At 47.4% G+C, this 23,082-nt stretch overlaps 1 protein-coding gene and 1 pseudogene across 4 annotated transcripts in view, besides 2 other annotated features; one reads left to right on the top strand and one right to left on the bottom strand.

Moving 5' to 3' along the window:
• The window catches only part of GUSBP11 (GUSB pseudogene 11), a 78,937-nt pseudogene that overhangs the window by 3,591 nt on the left and 52,264 nt on the right, over window positions 1-23,082 (top strand). The window contains exons 4-8 of the transcript NR_024448.2: window positions 3,966-4,047; window positions 4,592-4,703; window positions 8,292-8,404; window positions 12,988-13,107; window positions 18,316-19,714. The product of NR_024448.2 is annotated as a GUSB pseudogene 11 (transcript). The remainder of the gene's footprint in view (window positions 1-3,965; window positions 4,048-4,591; window positions 4,704-8,291; window positions 8,405-12,987; window positions 13,108-18,315; window positions 19,715-23,082) is intronic.
• On the bottom strand, window positions 14,665-22,820 carry RGL4 (ral guanine nucleotide dissociation stimulator like 4). 3 transcript variants are annotated; one of them, NM_001329424.3, is made up of 12 exons: window positions 21,624-22,820; window positions 21,305-21,498; window positions 20,842-21,164; window positions 19,859-20,074; window positions 19,383-19,486; window positions 18,814-18,883; window positions 17,145-17,219; window positions 16,588-16,662; window positions 15,972-15,995; window positions 15,500-15,621; window positions 15,188-15,278; window positions 14,665-14,989 (listed from the first exon to the last, which is right to left on the bottom strand). In NM_001329424.3, exons 1-12 carry the CDS (start codon window positions 21,800-21,802, stop codon window positions 14,720-14,722), a joined length of 1,743 nt encoding a protein of 580 aa, NP_001316353.1. In that variant the 5' UTR covers window positions 21,803-22,820; the 3' UTR covers window positions 14,665-14,719. The 3 variants fall into 3 exon arrangements, with proteins under 3 accessions (NP_001316353.1, NP_705843.1, NP_001316354.1); NM_153615.2 differs by lacking the exon at window positions 15,188-15,278; NM_001329425.2 differs by lacking the exons at window positions 15,188-15,278; window positions 18,814-18,883; window positions 19,383-19,486; ... (2 more) ...; window positions 21,305-21,498; window positions 21,624-22,820 and adding an exon at window positions 17,339-17,417.
• Window positions 17,099-17,178: an enhancer, noted in NCBI's record as "active region_18756". NCBI's record gives its function as "activates an Ori minimal core promoter by ATAC-STARR-seq in GM12878 lymphoblastoid cells {active_cell/tissue: GM12878}" and the evidence as "EXISTENCE:reporter gene assay evidence [ECO:0000049][PMID:35858748]".
• Window positions 17,913-18,413: an enhancer, noted in NCBI's record as "H3K4me1 hESC enhancer chr22:24037607-24038107 (GRCh37/hg19 assembly coordinates)". NCBI's record gives its function as "activates a minimal SCP1, AML or CMV promoter by ChIP-STARR-seq in naive H9 embryonic stem cells {active_cell/tissue: H9 hESC(naive)}" and the evidence as "EXISTENCE:reporter gene assay evidence [ECO:0000049][PMID:30033119]".

The raw sequence follows: 23,082 nt of genomic DNA, 5'->3' as shown, positions 1-23,082 counted from the left end.
AGGATCACTTTAGGCCAGGAGTTTAAGACCAGCCTGGGCAACATAGCGAGACCATCACCACAAAAAATTAAAAACCGTCAGGCATGGTGATGCATGCCAGTAGTCCCAGCTGCTGAGGCAGGAGAATCTGTTGAGCCTGGGAGGTCAAGGGTGCAGTGAGCTGTGACCACGCCACTGCACTCTGGTCTGGGCAACAGAGGGAGACCCTGTCTTTTTTATTTTTATTTGTTTTTAAGCTAGAGTCTCACTCTGTAGGAGCCCAGACTGGAGGGCACTGGTGCAATCTTGGGCTCACTGCAACCTCCACCTCCCGAGTTCAAGTGATTCTCCTGCCTCAGCCTCCCGAGTAGCTGGGATTACAGGCACCTTCCACCACATCTAGCTAATTTTTGTATTTTTTTTTAGCAGAGATGGGGTTTCACCATATTGGCCTGGTTGGTCTTGAACTCCTGACCTCAAATGATTCACCCGCCTCGGCCTCCCAAAGTGCAAGGATTACAGCTGTGAGCCACCGCACATGGCTGGAATACCCTGTCTTTAAGAAAAAAAAATGTTTTTTAATTTTTTTTTTTTTAAATATATCTTTTTCCTTTTGTGAGATGAGGCCTTGCACTGTTGCCCAGGCTGGATGGCAGTGGTGCGATGATTGACAGCTGTTGTGGGGCCGCAGTTGTAAGTTTCAAAGAATTTAGGCTGGGTGTGGTGGCTAATGCCTGTCATCCCAGCACTTTGGGAGGCCAAGGTCAGCAGACCGCTTGAGCTCAAAAGTTCGAGACCAGCCTGGGCAACATAGTGAGACCCTGTCTCAAAAAGAATGAATAATTAAAATAAATAAAAAAGAATTTAAATAAGAAATCACACAGCAAAGGTGATGCAGCATAGAGCAATTTATTGTAAAGGGAAAAGTATTTTGCAAGTTAAGTGCAGAATAGCCTGGGTGCAGTGGCTTATGCCTGTAATCCCAGCTACTAGGGAGGTTGAGATGGGAGAACTGCTTGAACCTGGGAGGTGGAGGTTGCAGTGAGCTGAGATTGCAACACTCCATTATATAATCCCAGGTACTCGGGAGGCTGAGACAGCCTGGGTGACAGAGCGAGACCCCATCTAAAAAAAGATCGTGAAGTCCAAAATACACGGTTCACCCTGAGAGAGGATTCAGGGCAGTCTGCTCCTAAGGATGAGAGAGCGCTGATTATTACTGGGGAAACTCCCTTTCTGGGAGTCTTCCATGATGAATTCCTAAGGAGTTGGAAGAGGTGTTACTCTAAGCACGTTCTGGGTCATCCTCTGGGTGCACATGGGCTGTAGCTGTACATGCTTGTTCACACATCAGATGTCTCAGCGCCGTGGTTGGCACGTCCGAAGGACACGGTCACTTCCTTGACTACCTACCCTGCGTCAAGATCGTAGCTCGTTGCCGCCCCAAACTCCTGGCTCAAGCAATCCTCCCACTTCAGCCTCCCAAGTACTTGGGGCTGATGGGACTGCAGGCACACACCACCACGCCCAGCTAATTTTTGTTATTTTTTAGGGAAGATGTGGTTTCTCTATGTTACCCAGGCTGGTCTTGAACTACTGGGCTGAAGTGATCCTCCCTCTTCAGCCTCCCTGTGGTGGTGTGTTGGGATTACAAGTATGACCACTGCCCCTGGCCAAATACACGTTTTTTTTTATGTTTGTTTTTTGTTTTTTTGAGACAGAGTCTTGTGCTGTCACCCAGGATGGAGTGGTGCAGTGGTACGATCTTGGCTCACTGAAACCTCCGCCTCCCAGGTTCAAGTAATTCTCCTGCCTCAGTCTCCCTAAAGTAGCTGGGATTACAGGCGTGTGCCACCATGCCTGGCTAATTTTTGTATTTTTAGTAGAGATGGGGTTTCACCATGTTGACCAGGCTGATCTCGAACTCCTGGCCTCAAGTGATGCACCTACCTCAGCCTCTGAAAATGCTGGGATTACAGGCATGAGCCACCATGCTCAGCCTGTTTCCTTAAATTTCTTTATAAAAATTTACCCTATGGTAAAGGTGTACTACCAGAAGGTAGAATGAGACACTTTGGTCCATGCGTACATTGTGTAATGATGAAATCAGGGTATTTAGCATCTCTCTTGCCTCATAGAGTTATTATTCCTTTGAGGTGAAGACATTCAGTATCCTCTTTTTCTAGCTTTCTTGAAAAGTACGCTCTGATAATGTTAGACCTAGTCACCCTGCTGCTGTGGAATAGAACTACAGGTTTCATTCCTCTCACGGAGTATGTAACTTTATGCCGTTTCCAATCTCTGACTATGCCCCACCTTTCAACCCCCACCCGTGGTAAGAACAGTTATGCTTACTAGTTCTATGAAATAAAGTTTTGTGGATTCCTCCTGAGTGAGAAAATGTGATGTTTGTCTTTCTCTGTGTAGTTTATTTCTTTCTCCTTTTTTCCTTTTTTTTGAGATAGTGTCTGGCTCTGGTTGCTCAAGCTGGAGGGCAGTGGTGCAATCTCAGCTCACTACATCCTTGACCTCCCGGGGCTCAGGTGATTCTCCCACCTCAGCTTCCCGAGTAGCTGGGACTTTTGAGAAATGTCTCTTCGGGTTCATTGCCCAACTTTGGCTGGGTTACCTGGTTTTGCATGTATTTTTACTAGAGATAGGATTTCACGATTTTGGCAAAGCTGGTCTGAAACTCCTGACCTCAAGTGATCCACCCGACTTGGTCTCCGAAAGCACTGGGAGTACAGGTGTGAGCCACAGCACCCGGCCTCATTGCATCTTCTAGGTGTTCTTTGAAAAAAATGTGTTGACTGCGTACAGGTGTGTGTTTAGGTTCTCTTACGTCCCTAGGTTCGTGGATTCATTTTTATGCCACTACTGTAGTCTTTGGATGAGTGGAGGTTTTACTTGTAATTTGAAACTGGGGATTGTGCGGCCTCCAATTGAGTTTGTATTCCCTAGGATTGCTTTGCATATTCAGGTTCTTTGGGTCTTTGGTGGTTCCATGTGAATTTTTAGCCATGTATCGTTAACATTTCATAAAACGTTTGTTTCATACTTCATGTCCAGAATTAGGGGTGCATTGGGACATTGTGATACTTGTTTGTATACCTTGAGTATGGATAAAATCAGGGAGTTTCCCATGCTTGTGACCACGTATAGGTTTTATATCCTCGATGTGTGAACATTCAGTATCCTCCTTGGTAGCTGTTTTGAAAATGGCATGATCATGTTGTTAAGTATCGTCGCCGTGCTTTGGAGTGGAATACCAGAATGTATTCCTCTCCTGTAACTCTCTGTGTACCTATTGTGTACCTATTGCCAATCCTTGATATCCTCTCCTCCAGCTAGCCTGTGGTGACCACTGCTGTATTTCCACCTTCAGTCAGTTAAATTTTTCAGCTCCTACATGAGTGAGAACATGCAGGCTTGGTCTTAGTCTGCCTTTCTGATTTGATTGAACATAGTATCTCCAGGTGTAGCCATGTTGCTGGAAATGATAGGATTCCATGAATTTTGATGGCCCAAAAGTATCCCATTGTGTCTGTATACTAGAGATTCTTCATCCCTTCATCTGTGGATGGACAGGTAGGCTGATTTCTTATCTTGGCTTTTGGGCATAGGGCTGAATTCCACCTGGGATGACAGATAATCTCTTCCATGTCCTGATCACGTGCTCTGTGTATATACCTAGGAATAGAATTGCTGGAGAAAACGGTAGTTGAAGTTTTAGGATTTCAAGGAACACCCAAGTGGTTTCTTTAGTGTGCGTACTAGTTCACCGTTTCCCAGCAACTGTGGAGACAAGTTCCTCCTCTGGAAATCCACACCTTGATTTTTTTGTGCTTTAATGTTTCAACTTTTTTCTTGTAGCATCCATTGCATGTAGAGTGAGATGGAATCTTGAGTGTGTTTTTGATTTTTGTGTGTGTATGATAAGTGGTACTTGCTAAGTTATTGTGAATTTGTTTTTAATTTGTTGTTAGGACTGGATGGAGGACCTGAAGACGTGAGGTGGAGGCACAGGTAGAAGAGAAGATTCTCACCATCGCTGATTCACACAAAAGCGTAAGTGAAAATCACACTGAAGATTTCATCTCACTGCAGTTAGAATGAATACTACCAACATTTGATGGCAGTTTTGTTTCTGTAGAGTATGTGTGTGTGTATGTGTATATATATATACACACACACACAAACACACACAACCGTAAGAGTGCAAGGGACATTTTGACATGTATATGTAGCATCATGATCAAATCATCATATCTGGCATCTCTGTGACCTTCCATCATTGTTACTTCTCTGTGGAGAGAATATTCAGAACCGTATTTTCCAGCTGATTTTGAAAAATTTTTGTAGATTCTGTTGACCCTAGTCACCTAGTCACCCTGCTGTGTAACAGAACACCAGAATGGATTCCTCGTATCTGAGCATCACTCTGTACCCGTTACCCATCCCTGCCCAGGCTCCCTGCTCTCCCCAGCCTGTAGTAACCCCTATTGGAAGTTCTGCTTCTAGGAGACAATGTGTTTTGGATTCCATATGCCTGATGTCATGCAGTGTGGGTCTCCCTAGCAGACTCATTTCATTTCACCTAATTGTCTTCCAGATTTCTCCAAGTGGTTGCAGATGACATGATTTCCCAAAGTGTTAGAGCTGAAGTGTGTTTCCTTGTGTATATATACTGTGGTTCCTTTATCCCTTCATCTGTGGATAGACAGGTAGGTTGATTCCACATCTTGGCTATTGTGACTAGTACTTCAGGACACATGAAAAGGCAGATAACACAGGGATTTCATTTTCTCTAAACATGTACCCAGTGGTGGGATTGTTAGCTGGAGTGGCAGTTGTACTTTAACCTTTAGTTTAGTTTTGTTTTGTTTTGTTTTTTAAAGACAGAGTCTTGCTCTTGTTGCCCAGGCTGGAGTGCAGTGGCGCGATTTCGGCTCAATGCAACCTCCGCCTCCCACGTTCAAGCGATTCTCCTGCCTCAGCCTCCCGAGTTGCTGGGAATACAGGCACCTGCCATCACGCCTGGCTAATTTTTGTATTTTTAGTAGAGACGGGATTTCACCATGTTGGTGAGGCTGGTCTCGAACTCTTGACCTCAGGTGATCCACCTGCCTCGGCCTCCCAAAGTACTGAGATTACAGGTGTGTGCCACTGCGCCCAGCCTACCTTTTACTTTTTTAAGGAGCTTCCAAAAGTTTTTTATAGAGTGTATAGTAATTTTCATTCCACAAAGAGTGTAGAAGATTTTTTTCTTCCTGCAAGTCTACACTGATCATTGCCTTCAACAATTTTGATTTTTGTCTTTTGTAATACTCATTCTAAGTGGAATTAGATGGTAACCGAGTATGGTTTTGATTCACATTTTTGTGAGGATTAGTGATATTGAGAAACTGTCACCTGTGAGTCAATTTCCTGCCACCTTTTCACTCAGGTCTATTTAGATCCTCTTACCTTGGATATTTGTTGTTGTTGTTGTTGTTGTTGTTTTACACTTAGTCATATTAGTTTACTGTATGTAGTAGATAACAACCTCTTTCAGGGGTAGGATTTTTTAGAGTTTCTCTCAGTCTTTAGGATGCCTTTGTTTGTTTCATTGTTTTCTTTTCCCTGTAGAAGTTGCAAAGTGTCCCTAGTCTCATATGGTTATAGTTGCATATGTTAGCAGTGATTTTTGTGTTTAACACCCCACTTCCACAAAACACAGAAACATGCGTGTGTGCACGCACGCACACACGCACACACACGCACAGCCATGCCTTGCATTGTCTGTGGGTGTTTTTTTTTTAGTGTTATGATGCTTTTTTGCCTTTTGCAGCCTGTTTGCATAGATACAGGTTTCCTAAAATATACACCCGCTCTCTATTTTCTTATAGGACCTTTACAGTTTCAAGATTGAGTTTAGGTCTTTAATTCATTTTGTGTTGATTTTGTGTATCGTGCATCGTAAGGGCCCTATTTCAGTGTTTTACCTGTGGATATTCAGTTTTCTCAAAATCAATTGAACCAGACTCTTCCTTTCCCATTGTATCTTTTTGGGGTTTTGAAAAATGTATTCCTTACATATCATGTTGGATAGAGTATTTGGCTGCCTCATTCTGTCACTTAGGTCCTCGTTCTGTGTTTGTGACAGTCATGGATTGTTTGGATAACTACAGATTGTTTTTTCATTTATTATTTTCTTGGGTTCTAACCTTGGATTTTTCTTTTAATGCTTTCTACTCTCATTATTAGAGTTTAAAAGGTACATATGCAAGTTAGTTACATCTGTTTATTGCATGACACTGAGACTTGGGGTCCCAACAACCACATAACCCAGGCAGTGAGCAGAGGGCCCACAGGGTGGGTCTGCAGCACACTCTTCCTCTCCCCTGTTTTTTTATTGGTCTGGTGGTCATTCCAGGTGTCTGTTGTTCTCTTCTTTATGTTTGAGTCCATTCAAAGTTTAGCTCTGAATGCCACTTATAAGTGAGAACATGTGGCATTTGGTTTTCTATTTGGGCCTTAGTTCACTTATGACAGTGGCCTGCAGTTTCCATGTTCCGGGCTCAGGTGATCCTCCCACCTCAGCCTCCTGATTAGATAGGAATACAGGTGCCCACCACCACATCCAGCTAATTTTTGTATTATTGTAGAGATGGGATTTCACCATTTTTCCCAGGCTGGTCTCGAATTCCGGACTTAAGCCATCCACCTGCCTCGGCCTGCCAAAGCGCTAGAATTACAGGTGTGAGCCACTGTGCCGGCCTCTCATCCACTGTTGATGGCTAGGTGGATTCCATGTCTTTGACATTGTGAGTAACACTGCTGTGAACATACGAGTGCCTGTGTCTTTTGGATACAAGGATTAATTTTCCTTTGGGTAGATGCACAGGAGTGGGCTTACTGGGTGAGATGGTAGTTCTGTTTTCAGCTCTTTGAGACATCCCCGATCTGCTTTCGGTGGTGTCTGTACTAGCTTTCATCCCACCCGGAAGTGTACCAGCGTTTCCTTTCCTCGGCTGCCTCACCAGCATGTGTTCTTTGCCTGCGTGGTCCTCACCATTGTGACCTGCGTGGAATGGCATCTCGTCATGCTTTTGATTGGCAGCTCTCTGATAATGAGTGAGTTTGAGCACGTTTTCCTATTTGTTGGTTGCTTGTACATCGACTTTTGAGCAGTGTGTGTTCACATCCCTTGCCCGTTTATTAATGGGATATTCTTTTTCTGTTTATTCCCCTGGTTGACTTGTTGAAGGGCCTTGTAGATTCTGCATATTAGACGTTGGTCAGATGCACAGTTTGGGAACATGTTCCATTCTGTACGCCGTCTGTTTACTCTGTTGGTAGTCTCTTTTGTGCAGCAGCTCTTTCAGGTGTTAGGTCTGACTTGTCAATTTTTGTTTTTGTTGCCTTTGCTCTTCAGGACTTAGCCATCTAAATGCTTTGCCAAAGCCTATGTGGAGAAGGATATTTCACAAGTTTTCTCATAAGATTTTAATAGTTTGAGTTTTTACGTTTAAATCTTTCATTCATCTTGATTTCCTCTTTGTGTCTGGTGAGAGGGAGGGCCCAGTGTTATTCTTCTGCACCATTGATAGCCACTTACTTCAGCACCATTGATTGAATAGGGTGTCCTTTTCCCTTTGCTTACTTTTGTGGATTCTGTGTTAGATCAGATAGTTTTCAGTGTGTGGTTTTACTTCTTGGTCCTCTCTTGTGTTCCACTGCTGTGTGTGGAAGCGGATCCCTAGCTTTTCCATGAAATTTGAAATCAGGGAGTGATGTATCCGATGTAGTCTGGATGTCTCAGGATTGCTGAGGATGAAACTCAGTTCGCTTCATGGTCCCACGTGAATATTAGCATCGTGTATTTCTATTTCTTTCGACAAATGTGTTCCATAGTAAAGGAACAGTACAATGAGAGGGTAGAGTGGGGCGTTATGGTCCATGCATACATTGTGGAATGATGAAGTCAGGGTACTTAGTGTTTCTGTTACCTTTTCCCATTGTTTATTCCTTTATGGTGAGAACCTTCAGTATTCTCCTATCAAGCTGCTTTGAAAGTGATGTGCTGATACTGTTAACTGTGGTCACCCTGCAGTGGAATAGCACAACAGAATTTTCTTCCTCTCATTTATGTGTAACTTTGTACCCATTTACAGTTCCTGCCCATTACCCCTCTTTTCCCCCAATCTCTGGAAACCAATATTGTGGTCGCCAGGTCTTTGAGATAGAGTTTCTCAGATTCTGCATGAGTGAGATGACTCAAGGTTTGTCTCTCCCCCCTTGCTCATTTAATTTACCATCATGTCCTCCAGGTGCAACCGTGTGGTTCCCCACGATATGATTTCATTGTGGTTTTCTGTCTGAAGAGTATCCCAGTATGTACCTGTGGAGCAGCTTCTTTATCCCTTCATCTGTGGATAAGCAGGTAGGTTGATTGCTTATACTGGCTCTTGGGAACAGTGCTGGAATCCCCATGGGTGGGTAGATCTATCTTTGGTGTCCTGATTTCAATGGCTTTGAGCGTATTCCTAGTAGAATTGCTGGTTGAAATGGTAGTTGGAGTCTTTTAAGGTTTGGAGGAACCTCCAAGTGGTTTCTGTAGCGTGTGTACTAGTTTACCTTCTCACAAACTGGAGAAGAGTGTCTCTCTCTCTCTCTCTCTCTCTCTGGAAACACACACCAGCATTTGCCTTTCTTTCAATGTTTTTTGTCTTTTTTTGTAACACTCATTCTAGTTAGAATGAGATGGTATCTAAGTGTGGTTTTGATTTACATTTTGCTTGTGGTGAGTGATGTTTGCCAAGTTATTGTGAACTTGTTTCAATTTAATGTGTAAGACTGGGCAAAGGACCTGAAGACCTGAGACGGATGCACAGGTAAAAGATTCTGAATCAACATTACTGATCCTCACGAGAAGTCAAAACCACACTCAGATATCATCTCACTCCACTGAGAATGAATGTTACCAGAATGGGATAGCAATTTCATTGCCGTAGAGTATGTGTGTATAACCAGCTGCTGTAAGGGACAATTTGATCTATGTAAAAGTGGCATCATAATGAAGTTGCAGTGTCTAGCATCTCTGTGAGCTCCAGAGTTATGATTTCTCTGTGGAGAGAATATTCACAATTGACCTTTGTAGCTGTTTTGAAAATTTTGGTTTTCTGTTCTTGCCTTTTGTTCATAATGGACTACGGCTCTGTCCGTGTTTCTGGTAAGGGCATGGATTTGTTTTTTATGGCTGTGTAGCGTTCCGTGGTGTGTATATACCACATTTCCTTTCTCTGATCCACTGCTGATGGGCACCAAGGCCGATTCCATGTCTTTACCATTGTGAGTAGTACTGCCATGAACAGATGAGTGCATGTGTGTTTTTGGTGGAAGGATTTTCCTTTGGGTAGATCCTTCGGAGTGGGGTTGCAGCGTGGGGTGGTAGTTCTCTTTTAAGTTCTTTGAGAAATGTCCACACTACTCTCCAGGGGGTCTGAACTAGTTTGCATTTCCCCCAACAGTGGACCTGCATTTCTTTGCTCATCTGCCCCTCCAGCCTCTGTTGTTGTGGACTGTGTGTCGTAATTGCCATTCTGACCAGTGTGAGATGGTATCTCAGTATGTTTTTGATTTGCATTTCTCTGATGATCAGTGAGATCGAGCATGTTTTCATGCTCATTGGTTACTGGTACACCTCCTTTTAAGTGTGTGTTCATGTCCCTTGCCCATTTATAAGTTGTTTTTTTTTTTTTTTTCTGGTTTTATTTGTTTAAGGTCTTTACGATAAATCCTGGATATTAGATGTTTTTCAGATGCATAGTTGGGGAATATTTTCCCTCATTCTATAGGCTGTCTGTTTACTCTGTTGGTAGTTTCTTGTACTGTGCAGCAGCTCTGTTGTGCATTAGGTCTCACTTATCAGTAATTGTTTTTGTTGCCATTGGTTTTGGGGACTTGACATATAAATGCTTTGCCGAAGCCTCTGTCGAGAAGGGTATTTACTAGATTCCTGTGCAGGATTTTTTTATAGTTTCAGGTCTTGGATTTTTATGTATTTATGTATTTATTTAGAGACCGAGTCTCACTCTGTCATACAGGGTGGAATGCAATGGAGCGATCTCGGCTCAATGCACCCTCCACCTTCCGGGTTCAAGTGATTCTCCTGCCTCAGTCTCCCAAGTAGCTGGGAGTACAGGCACGTGCCACCATGCCCGGCTAAGTTTTGCTTTTTTAGTAGAGACGGGATTTCACCATATTGGCCAGGGTGGTCTCGAACTCCCCGACCACAAATCATCTGACCACTTCTGCCTCCCAGAGTGCTTGGATTTCAGGCATGAGCCACCGTGCTCAGCCTGGGATTTTGCATTTCAATCTTTGATTCATTTTGAGTTGCTTTCTGTACATGGTGAGACACAGGGGCCCAGTGTTATTTCTTCTGCATCCAGCTAGCCACTTATCCCAGCACCACTTACTGATAGGGAGTCCTTTCTCCATCGCTTATTTTTGTTGATTTTTTTCAAGCATCAGATGGTTTCAGTTGTGCGGGTTTATATCTGGGTCTTCTAATCTGTTCCACTGCTCTGTGGAACCGGGTCCCCAGCTTTTCAGTGAAAATGCCAAGCCATTACATTGTCTATGGATGTTTTCTTAGAGTGTTTCCTTTGTTTTAATGTTTTGTTTATACCTTTAGCAGGCTGCGTGCATGGATTTCTTTTCTAAAATACATGCGCACCCTGTTTTCTTGTGGGAGTTTTGTGGTTTCAGAATTGAGTTTTAGGTCTTTAATGTATTTTGCATTGATTTTTGTGTTGCATGACATAAGGGTCCTATTTCAGTGTTTTGTATGTGAATATTCAGTTTGCTCAAAATCATCTATTAAACAGTCTCTTTTTCCCATTGTGTCTTTTTGGTGTTCTTTTGAAAAAATGTGTTCACTATATGTAAATTGGGGTTGAGTATTTGGTTTACTCATTCTGTCCACTTTCTTAGTTTATACCAATAAAGGATTGTTTGGATAATTATAAAAGCTTGTGTTTTTCATTCATTTTTTTAGCTTCTAAGTGTATTTTTTAACATAATTTCTACGTTTATTATAGACTAAAGGGTACAAAGGCAGATTAGTTACTGCCTTTGGTATACTGCATGCCACTGAGACTTGGGGTCCCAGGGACCTTATCACGCAGGGAACAGGTGCACCCACCGGGTAGGTCTTTAGCACATACCTTGTCCCTTCTTTTTCGTCTGATAGTCACCAGTGTCTGCTGTTTTCACTTTTACGGTAGGGTGTATTCAATTTTAGCTCCACCTTGTAAGTGAGAACATGTGTCATTTGGTGTTCTGTTTTTTCCTTATTTCTCTTTAGATAATGGCCTCCAGCTCCTTTCATGGTGCTGCCAAGGACATGATTTCCTTCTTTTTTGTAATGGCTGCCTAGCTTTTTGTGGTATATATGTACTGCATTTTCCTTTTCTGATCCACTGTTGATGGGTACCTAGGTTGATTTCACGTGTTTGCCATCGTAAATAGTGCTGCCAGGACCGTTTGTGTGCATGTGTGTTTTGGTCAGAAGGATTCATTTTCCTTTGTGTATATCCTAGTGGTGGGATTGCTGGGTCAGATGGTAGTTCTGGTTTAAGTTCTTTGAGCAATCTCCGAAGTGCTTTCCATGGTGTCTGAACTACTCTGCATTTTCACCAAAAGTGGACCAGTGTCCCCTTTCTCTGCTGCCACACCAGTGTCCTTTTTTTTTTTTAACTGTGTAATCGCCATTCTGACCAGTGTGAGATGATATCTCCTTGTGCTTTTGATTTATATTTCTCTGATAGTTAGGTTGAGCATATTTTCAGATTTGTTGGTTGCTTGTACGTCATCTTTCAAGAAGTGTGTGTTCATATCCATTGTCTATTTATTAGTTATTTGGGGGGTTTTGCTAATTGATTTCTATAAGGTCTTTAAGGTAGATTCTAGATATTAGAACCTTGGTGAGGTGCATAGTTTGGGAACATTTTCTCTCATCCTGTATGTTGTCTGTCTACTCTGTTGGTAATTTGTCGTGTTGTGCGGTGGCTCTTCAGTGTATTAGGTCCCACATGTTGATTACTGCTTTTGTTGCAGTGTCATGTGGGGTCTTAGGCATATAAATGCTTTGTCAAAGCCGATGTCGAGAAGGGTACTTCCTAGGGTCTCTTGTAGGATTTTTGTAGTTTGAGGTCTTCCATTTACATCTTTCATTCATCGGAGTGAACTTTTGCACATGGTGAGAAGTAGAGGCCTAGTGTTACTTACTGTTCTGCATATGGCTCGCCACTTACCCCAAGACTATTGAAAAGGGAGTTCTTTCCCCATTACTTATCATTGTGTATTTCATCCAAAATCAGGTCGTATGAGGTGTGTGGGTTTACTTCAGGTTCTCTTCCACTCATCCATGTGGAAGCAGGTCCCTAGAGTTTGAGTGAAATTTCAAATCAGAGAATGTGATGCATCCAATGTAGTTTGGATTTCTCAGAATTGCTTTGGAAATGCCGGGCATTTCCTGGTGTCACATGAACTCCAGCATTGTTTATTTCTGTGTCCTTAAAACCAATTTGCTCTGTAGTAAAGGTATACAGTTAAAGAGTAGAGTGGGACATTTTGATCATGCATATATACCTTGTGTAATGATGAAAGCAAGGCATTGACTGTCTCTGTTACCTTGTGTAGTTATTATTTATTAGTTCTCTGTCGTTGCAATATGCAGAATCCTTCTTTTCAGCCTTTTTTGGAAAATATGGTAGGATACTGTTAACTCTAGACACCCTACTGTGGAGTAGAACAGCTGAATTTATTCCTGTCATCTGAATGTAACATTGTATCCATTTCCCAGTTCCTGCCCGGACTCCCCAACCCCCCGCCTCTCTTCACCACTGTGGAACTTTCTAGTTCTAGGAGATAAAGTCGTTTAGAGAGAAAGTTGATCTCATTCTCACATGCATGAAATCATGCTGTTTGTCTTTCTCTGCCTGACTCATTTTGTTGAAGGTCATGTCCTCCAGGTTTCTGCACGTTGCTGCAGATGACATGATTTCATGAATTTCTGCGGCCGAAGAGGATTCCACTGCGTGCTGCAGTTTCTTTATCCCTTTATCTGTGCATGAACAGGTAGGTGGATTGGATACCTTTGCTATTGTGAGTAGTGCTTCAGTCACCATAGGAAGGCCGATATCTCTTCAACATAACAGATTCCATGCGCTTTCTGTGTATAACCAGTGGTGGGATTGATAGGTGAACGGGTAGTTGTAATGTAAAATGTTTAAGGCACCTTCAACTGCTTCGCTTCGTGTGTCTAGTAATGTACCTTCCCACCAATAGTTTATAAAAGTGTCTTTTTCTGCGTTTCTACGTTGGCCACTGCCTGTGAACATATGGGTTTTTTGTTGTTTTTGGTAAGTTTCATTCTAATTAGAGTGAGAGGTATCTGAGTCTGGTTTGCAGTTAGACATTTGTGTGAGGATTAGTGAAGTTGAGCAACTTCTCTTTGACCTGTCAGTCAATTTCGTGTTTTCTCTTCAGATGTGCCTGTTCAGGTTCTTTGCCCAGTTTTAGCTTGGGTATTAGGTTTTGTTCATTTTTCCAGTTAAGAGTAGTGTTAGTTTCTTGTACATGTTAGATAACAACCCCTTTCACAGATGATTCTGCTGAACTTTCTTTCAATCTGTAGGATGCCTTCTTTAATGGTTCATTGTTTCTCTTCCCCATGCGGAAGCTCTAAAATGATGTTTAGTCCTATGTGTTTGTATTCACATTTTTGTTTTCCATCCAAAAAGAATAAAAAATAAGAAAAAGTATTGCCAAATCAATTGCATGGTCAAAGGGTTTCTTGCCATAGATAATTTTTGGTTTTCTTTTCTTTCTTTTTTGCAAACTGCGTGCATAGATACAAGTTTTGCCGAAATAGAAACTCCCGCTTTTCTTATAGGAGCTTTGCGGCTCCAGGATTGGATTTAGGTGTCTATTTTGTGTTGATTTGGGGGTATTACATGTTTCAGACCCTGAAATGTTGATTTCTTTGGCATGTTTTTGTCTGATATCCCACAATGGGGGTTGTGTTCAAATTAAGCTGTGGGACATCTTTTAGATACTGAGTTCAAACAGTTCTCACCTTCCTTGATGTTCATTTAGGGGAGAGGTGTCAGAAGGTCTGGGAAGATCCACAGTGGAAAAAGTTTATCTGTATTTCGTGGAGACTGATGGCCAGCTCCCTTCTGCCCAGGACTTCTGGAGAAGGCCAGCCCTACCACTTGCTTAAATACCTCCCATCTCCAGCCCTTCAGTAAATATTTAAGTGATTTGTTAAATATTTAAACCTTAAGAAAATTGAGTAACCCAGTGGAACTTGAATTTAACTAGAATTTAAGTTTGAGAATAGCTGGTCAGTAGAACAAATGTGACATACTATGGGTGACATAGATTGGGTGACATACTATGGCTTTTAAGGGGTTTTGTTTTGTTCTGTTTGTTTTCTTAAGCAGAGTTAACAATAATTTGAATAAAGAAGGAAAACATTAAATGCTTGGCATGTGTAATGTGAATGCTATTCCATAACTTGTTCAGCCATAGCCTCAATTTGACATGCTAGGCTATGAATCCTAAAGACTGGTATATGGTTACCGCACTGGAGTTACTTTTCTCATTCCAACAACTACAGAACATTTTGAATAGTTTTTTAAAATTTTATTTTAACGAAAGTTAAGAAAAAACCCTTACTTATACACTAAAGAAAATAAACATAAAATGGTCTCCCGCCTGACTCACAAAAGTCCCATGGCCTGATCCTGGCCAGCAGGAGCAGTTGGTGATGAGGATCCAGGGCAAGATGCAGCTGAGCTGCCAGCCTCCTAGATGTGGTTCCCTGGTGTCTACGGTCTGGGTGAGGGATGGTGCAGAGCCGGTGTTCTGGCCAGCATCCCGGTGGGTTCCCAGCCACTGCAGGATGTTGCCAGCCTACGGGTTTTCGGGCTCCAGCTGGCAGGACAGCTTGTAGCTGCAGGACAGAGAAGCAGCTGTGAGGCCACCATGAGCCACACATCAGGTCCCCTGTCAGTGCCTGCCCAGCTGGAATCCTGGGTCCCCAGTGGTCCCCATGCAACAGGGCTTGATGCTGGCCGTGGAGGCATGGCCATAGGCTCTCTGCAGCTGGCCACGGGAGAGCCTCCTCTAGGCCAGGTGGGGTGGCTCACACCTGTAACGTCAGTACTTTGGGAGGCTGAGGTGGGTGGATTGCTTGAGGCCAGGAGTTTGAGACGATCCTGGACATCATCGTGAAACCCCATCTGTACCAGAACAACAACAGCAGAACAACCGGACATGGTGGTGTACAGCGGTAGTCCCAGCTGCTTGGGAGGCTGAGGAAGGACTTGAGCCCAGAAGGCAGACGTTGCAGTGAACAGAGATGGTGACACTGCAGTGCAGCCTGGGCGACAGAGCCAGACCATGTTAAAAAAAAAAAATGGAGAGCCTTCTCCCACCCTCAGCCCATGGGCTAGGCCCTCACCTCTCTTTGTCACTGAGCTGCTCCATTCTTGTGAAATAGGTGACAAATTTCTCAAGAGGCCGAAGCCTGTAATTCATGGCAGCCACTTGGAGCAGCTGCATTTCCTGCAGAACTCGGACCTCCTAGAGACAGAGGACAGGATGCTGACAGGGCCTGGGTGGAAGTTGCTGTGGGGGCCTTTGGCAGGCAGGGAGAAGGGGCTGGTCCCTGGGGCAGTTTTCTGAAGGGGTCCCATGCAGCGCCCCCAGCCTGTTCTCAGAGTTGGATATAAACAGCCCCTCCTGCAGGAATTGGTCTTTGATTCCAGTGCTTTTCCCATTTTCTCCTGGGATAGGTCCCCTCCTCCTGTGTGTGTCAAACACTCCCAGTAAGCCTAAGATGTAGAGGATGGAGCCAGGGAGTGTCCTGCCCAGGGTGGACTGTGACGTCCACATCCCCACCCTCATCCAACGTGAGTGCCCCAGCTGCTCACCTTGCTCCTCTTGTTGGTGTTGCCCTGGAAGGCAGACAGAGTCCATCAGAAAGGCCCCTGGCCCACAACCAGCCCCACCCCACCCCTTCCCATGCTGCACTACTGCCAGGGCCACCAGGGTCAGGGGATGTGCACACGACAGGACTTGGACCTGCCTCAGGCTCCGGGCTCTAGAGCAGGGGGAATGGGAGCTGAGGCCCAGGGACCTTCTGCCCCAACCCTCTGTGATGACAGACAGGGAAACTGAGGTCTCTCATAGAAAGAAAGCGCTCAGTGACCTTGGAACTGCCTGCCCTTGGAGAGGCTCAATTTCACCCTCCTATTACGGGACTACCCTAGGGAGAAGCTGAGCCCAGTTCAGCCCACACCTCAGCAGCTTTGCAGTCAGGCAGCTCTGCAGCTTCACCACTCAGGAATAGGGCCTGGTGGCTGCCATGGAGCCTCCATCACTCAGAGGTGATGAGATGGGCCTGACACCCCCACCCACAGGAGCAGCTGTGAGGCTCTTAGGAGAGGAGGTTTGCCAAGGGCTGAGATCTAAAGGCTCGGTCCAGGACCCTCTCCTCCCAAGCTTCAGGATCTTGGTTCCCAAGCACCCTGCCCCAGGCTCACTCACATCCAGGTCGTCCGGGATGGCCGAATCCAGCCTCTGTAACTCAGTCAGAAAATCCCCCAGGAAGGGGACCACACCCTGTGCCAAGGAGGGGTGGGGAGGTGGGAGGGGTAGTGGTGATGAGTATTGGCCCTCAGGTGCCTGCCCAAGGTCCTGTCCCATGAAATCCCATCAGCCCCTGTCTCCCAGAGCCCCCTCCTCAGGTCTCCCGGTTGGAGCAGCCAAAGACCCTCAGCTGCCTTTCCCAATTCTCTGCCTCCTGTATCCCAGCTGACCTCCAAGTCTAGCAAGCACTCCTTGTTAACCTCTATGGTGGGATTTTAACAAGTCACAAAGGCCTGTGGTCCCAGCTTTACCCTTCCCCACATCTAGTCTGAGTCCAGCTTTCCCAGACCCTTCCTCTGGTCTCTCAAATGAAGGTTTTCCAGGCCCAGTGGCCACAGGAGGACAGGGCTGGGGAGGAAGCCCCCGCTGTCTTGATATGGAGGCCTCCAGCTGGCGGGGAAGGGAGCCCTGTCCTCTGATCCCCTGCGGCCCGTCCATGCCACAGGCTCACTCACCTTCTTCTGCCTCCGCAGCCTCATCTGGACTCTCTGGGGGTTCCTCTCCTGGGTGGCCACCTTAAAGCTCCCCGCCTGCCAGGTGTCAGCGACAGGGACAGTGAGGCTCTCCTCCTCTCCCCCAGTTACACCCCAGCCACCCCGCACTTGGATCCCCAGGGAGTGGCGGGAGCCACCTGGCACCGTGCTCATACCACTGGCCCAGATCCACACTCCCTGTGTGTGTCACCCAGTCTTGCAGCCGGGCCTCCCTGAGACTGTTTCCTCTTCTGTAAAGAGTGATGCAAACCACAGCTACCTCACAGGGCCTCTGAGGGCTCAGTTTCCTGTAGCTGTTGCCGTTGTTCTCACCGTCATCCCTCTGAGGAAGAACCAGGCACGAGCACCCTCAAATTGCTTTCTTTTCTTGAACTTCATTTCTACCCTGTGAGGCCTGCACTACAGGCTCAGCATCCCTTCATTTTCCAGATGAGGAAACAGAGGCCCAGAGCGGGCAGTGGCTCCCCAGGGCCCCCAAAGAGAGGACGCCTCCTTCTGCTCCTGGAGGCTCCGTCTCGGCTGCCTTCAGCTCACATCCCAGCACCACCACCCATCAGGGTCGTGTTCTCTGGAGTCTTTGAGTGTCTAGGTCTCCAGCCACATACAGTCGTGATGGGAAAGGGACAGGGCATTTTAGGAGACCTGGTTAAGTGGCACCTGCCTATCCCAGCCCCACTGGAATCTCTGCCACGCAAACTGGGTTTGAGCCATGCCAAAGGCTTCGCCTCGCCAATGATCCCCCAGGGGAGTTCCGTGCACGGAACTCTCTCTTTCTCCACTGAGGAAGTAGCCTCCTGATGCGCCATCTCTGACTGCAATGGCAGGGTTTTCCAGAGTCCTGGGTGGGGTGACATGTTGCCTTCTCATTTGCATGGACGATTCTGAGATCTGGTCAGGGAGGATCCCCTAGCAATGTATGAATCCCCCAGATACTTGTCATGAGCATGCGTCGCTGCTAACCGGTGAGAATCCTCTGACATGACCGTTTTTGGGTGTCTGCAAAGGGCAGAGTGGGGAGTCCCAGCAAACAGCTACGTCTGTCCCCAGTATGCCCATTGGTACCCAAAGCTGGGCAGTTACTGGACTCCCTGCCACATGAGCTTCCTCTGTTGTTGTTCCCCCTCTCCCCCAGTGCAGGCCAAGGCCCCCTGCCCATGGAGGTGTGCTGCAGACAGCAGCAGCAGCAGCAGCAGCAGCAGCAGCAGCAGCAGAGGCCTGGCTTCCTGAGGAATTGCTGGCCGGTTTGAGGAAGGAAGGAAGTCCCACCTACCATGATCACCCTCCAGCCTGGAGGAAGCTCCATGCCAGCAGCATGGACCAGCATGGGAGCCAGAGCCCTGCTAATGCTGCAGCTCATCACCCCTGCTCAGCAGCCCAGCAGCCCAGCAGCCATTGCCACATCCCATTTCCAGGGCCTCCTGCCCCCATGCCCCCACGTGCCCATGGACCGACACACCACTCTTCCTGTTGGCCCAAGGTAGGCATGGAGGGAATTTTTCAAGTCCACTTTTAGTAGGTAAGTCAAAACCAAACAAAATAACCACTCGACACCTGGTCCAATGCCCTTCCAAACTCACTCTTTTCTCTGACCCTTAAACACTTGTCCTGCATCTCCCAGACTCCACTGTACCTTGATCAGTAGGTCCCTCTTCACTGCAGTGTCTTTTTTGCAGAGTTCTTTTAGCTCTTTCATGCTTTTGCTATGGGCAGAGGAAAGAAAGAAGGGTAAATTTGGGAATCAGGGGAGATTTGTGAGTTCCAGTCCCTTTTGTTTGAAAACCCAGTGAATCCCAGCTTACTGGGTGAGAGTTTTCAGTGGAGTCCTCTGATCACAGGGGCTCCAGAGGACCAGGGTGGGACCTCTCATGCTCCTCCCCTGGGCCCCATCTCCACTTCACATGAGCCACTGCGTGTTTACAGTTAGCTTTCAGCTGGACACAGAGTTCCACTGCTGGGTACAAACACCTGAAAGCCTCCAGTTGGCTCCAGTCTGTTCCTGATGGTTAAAAAACCTTAGTCCTGAGTTGGAAATCCTTGCCTAGGAGTCCAGGGCAGCTTAGTGACCACAGCCACCGGCCCATCCCTGCCTCCAGTGTCCCTGGACTCCAAGAACCTTTCAGAGTCATTGAGGGCACATGGGGGGAGACCTGTGAGTCCCTAGGTCAACCCTGATGCTGCCATGGAGAGAGCCCTCCTCACCTGGACACTCCTGCCCACGTCTTGTGTAGCTGACCTATTGGGTTGCTGCACAGAGCAGAGACGATGACGTGCACCGAGGAGAAGTTGTTGAGGCTTAGGCACTCCTGGAGAGGGAAGAATGAGCTGTGCGGTTCAGAGTTGGAGCTTGGCCCACTACAGCCTCAGCCCCCTCTGCTGAGATCTCCCCTCCTGGATGAAGCAGAGGCCTGGGGAGCCTCAGGAGGGCAGACCTGGGGCCGAGTGGATGTCACTCATCTAGGAGGATTTTAGTTCAACCCAAGGAAGACCCCAGGTCGGAAGTGAGCAGCCACCACTGGGCCGTGGGAGTCAAGGTGAGTGAAGCTCTGGCAAGAAGAGCCTAGGGGATGTGCAGGGTCCAGGCCAGAGATACAGATGCCGATCCTGAAAGCCGATGGAGGAGAAGAGGAAGTTCCCCATTTTTAAAGAGGGAATCCCCAGGCCCAACCATAGCTTACCCTGGCCACCTTGATCCAGTGCTCCACCACCCTGGCCCTGTCCCGGGCCCTCATGCTGTGGTCCCCGAGGCAGGAGGTGGTGATGCAGTTGGTGAGCCTGTTGAAGTGTGCGATGGTGGCACGAACTGTGGGTGCCATGTGCTCATTCCCCTTCAGATGTCCTTGGCCCCAGATGCAGCCCAAGCATTCGTGGAGCACCACCTTCTTGAACAGCTCCTTTGGGGGAGGAGGAGAGTGTCACGGACACAGCACACTGCAGCTCAGAGTCACCCACAGTCCCAGGCAGGGACTGAGCTCACAGTCATCCACGGTCTCTGGCAGGAACCAAGCTGGAGCTCAGAAAGCTTTAAAATGGGCTCCAGACTTGTGGGAGTCCCTGGGTTTGGTTTTCTGCCCCCGAGGGACCTGAATGCATCATGGCCTAGAACCCAACAAGGGTGGGAAGAGAGAGTGACATTTTCTCCCAGGCCATCCACACTCTAAGAACTAGAAGGTGGCTCAGGCCTGCCCATCCTGAGGCCTCGTCTTCCTCCCATCCCAATCAGCCCTCTACTACTCCTCTCCGTACCGGTGCACTTTCCTTGTGGCAGCTGCAACTATGGGCTCTGTTTGGGTGTCTACCATAGAATCCAGTATGCATCAGGTACCTAATAAGTGCTGAGGGTAGTGAGGCTCCTGAGCAGCTGGGTGAGTGACCCATGGCCCTGCCTGCCCCACAGTGAGCACCTGCCCTGCCCTGCTTTCTGTCCATCTCCTGTCACTCAGTCTGCACAGTCACTCTGTGCAGCTGGCGCTGGTGATGTCCCATCTCTGCCGTCCACATGCAGACAGGGAAGGCTTGTGGGTGAGGAAACTCATCCAGATCCCACGGTTGGTAAGAAGTGGGGCTGAAATTGGACCGAGGGCATTGGCTGCTCCTCAGGGAGAGGCTGGTCTGAGACAGCTGGTGCCAGAGACACAGCCTGCAAAGCTCAGCTGCTCACCGCATCCATGAGGGTCAGCTGCTCTGCCAGCAGCCTGGGAGGGAAGGTCGTCATGTCAGGCAGCTCCTCACTGGGTTGGTTCTTTACAGACCCACGACAGGGACAGGAGGACTCTGGGGCTGACTGTGGCTCCAGCACTGTCCCTGGAGGGGGCCCTTCCCCTGGTGCTGGTGCTGGCCCTGGTGCTGAATGTAGATATCCTGGTGGACCCAGGGCTGCAGGTGACTCTGGCTCCAGAGCAGGCCCCAGGTCCGCCAGCAGTGGTGGTGCTGGCTCCAGGGCCGGCATTGTTAATGCGTGTTGCCCAGGACGTGGAGCAGGATCTGGAAAAGGAGAAAAGGTCACCACACCAGTCATTTTTCACTGGGTTTTCCAAGCACAGAAATGACCGGGTGGAATTTAAGGGAATTGTAGCCCCAAAACACCACCCCCGGAAAGTCTTGCAGACTGCAAGCCCCCTCACCATCTGGCTTGGCCTCGTTGGGCTCCGGAAGCACCAACTGGCCTAGGACAATTTCCTGATGGTCCTCCAAGCCCAGTCCAGGCCAGGAGAGGTTCCTGAAGGCCAGCTTTATCCGGAAAGATGACCGTTGCGGGGGCTGATAGTAAACTGAAGTGTTTTCGGGGGGCCAGTTGAACAAAATGGAGGTGATGGTGCTGGTGATGGAGTAGACAGCTGAGTCAGAGGCCTGGCCTTCTCCCACACAACCCTCCAGGGCACCCCTGCGTGGTTCTGGGTCCCTGGCCTGTTGCTGCCAGTGTGGAGGACAGCCCCACCCTACCGTAAGCCATCAGTGCTGTCCTGGAAGGGGCAGACCTGGCCATACAGCAGGGCTGTACAGACCCTCGTGCGCCCTGGCGTCCCACAGACATTCTCTTCCCAAAGGCCCTGGAGCACAGCACTGTACACCTGGGCACTCAAGACTGCAGCTGCAGGCAGATTTGTGAGCAGCTTCCTCATCAAAGCTCCAGATCTGGGTCCCCTGGTCCTGGGGTTAGGAGGGAAGGGGCAGATGTCGGGGGGAGGAGGACAGGGAGAGCTGGGAAGCCACGGTGCTGAGGGGGATGGGTCTCTCAGTGGCCAGCTGTGACCCCAGCCTCCCCTCTGCTTTGCAGGGGACCTAAGTCTCCATTTACAGAACTCACTATTTGCCTCTTGTGGGGGAAGTCCCCAGATGTCAGCCTTCTCGTGGGAATTATAAGAAGTATGAGCCCCAGAGCTCCTTTAGTCTCTCCCCAGCCAGAGTCCACATATTTTCCCCCATGTTTTGTGGGTGAAAAGGCCCTTCAGAACCCTAAATCCACCCAGTTTATATTTGTTGCTGGGCTGCGTCATTCTAGTCAGAATCTGGGAGGATGCCACCATACGTAGAGGAGGCCATGAGGGTCTCACCTGTAACATTCTGTAGATATGACTTGTTTATTCTGTCTACTGTGAGTGCCTGACTCTGAGTAGAATCAAGGCCGGGGGATTGTCATCTGCTTTGTTTATGAAATTATGCCAAGCCCCAAGAAGAGCGATGCACAAATGAGGTGTTTTGAATGTATGTGTTGAATGAGTGAACCCCAACCTTTGGAGAACCCCAGTGAGCCTCTCCAGATGTCTGAGTGGGCCTGTGGCTCCTTTTTCAGCACCAAGGGACCCCTCTTCTGTCTGTGTCAAGGAGAAAGACCAGCCAGAAGGAATCTCAGACATCCTTTACCAGTGCCATCGCAGACTTGGTTTCTATGTGTTTTTCCAAACAGTGAGTGATACAGGCCATTGAGGCAGAATGCTGAGAGCTGCTTCAAGTGAGGGGGAAGAGAAAAGTAACAAACATGAATCACAGCACCCCCAGCAGATTTTCCAGAGTTTTAGGCTCTAGGGACCCCTTTGTTTGCTGTGTCTTAGATCATTGAGTCCCTACAAGAACCCTGTGAGGTTCGTCTTCTCACTACTCCCTGTTCCAGAGGAGCCAACCGAGGCTCCGAGAGGTGCATCTTCAAGACAGAGCCAGTAGGGGACAGAGGCACCTCTGTGTCTTGGAGGGGGATGGACACTCACCTTCTAACCAGTAGTTCCAAAAAGTGTGGCACAGTGATAAAGTCCCAGGAGGGGCCCAGGCAGGTGGCATAGGAGGAGATGGGTTTAGTTAGAAAGGCTGGAACCAGGGACTCCCAACAGCTTCTCCCCAGTGCCGGGCTGGAAAGTTAGCATCCTGCAGATCTCATTTTCATACTAGGGGGACAAGGAGGGACATG

The sequence above is a fragment of the Homo sapiens genome, chromosome 22 (genome assembly GCF_000001405.40).
Source record: "Homo sapiens chromosome 22, GRCh38.p14 Primary Assembly".
In the NCBI taxonomy this organism is placed as follows: Eukaryota; Metazoa; Chordata; class Mammalia; order Primates; family Hominidae; genus Homo; species Homo sapiens.
Note: the sequence above shows the minus strand (reverse complement) of the source record. Positions and strands in the feature narration are given on the sequence as shown.

What these genes read in the sequence shown, in the direction of transcription:
- RGL4 (NM_001329424.3), bottom strand. Translation starts at nt 21,802, where the DNA reads ATGAGGAAGCTGCTCACAAATCTGCCTGCAGCTGCAGTCTTGAGTGCC. An exon ending in CAACGAGGCCAAGCCAGATG is followed by an intron (nt 21,165 to 21,304) that starts GTGAGGGGGCTT and finishes CTCCTTTTCCAG; the next exon opens with ATCCTGCTCCACGTCCTGGG. An exon ending in CCAAAGTACTGACGTTACAG is followed by an intron (nt 14,990 to 15,187) that starts GTGTGAGCCACC and finishes TCTGTCCTGCAG; the next exon opens with CTACAAGCTGTCCTGCCAGC.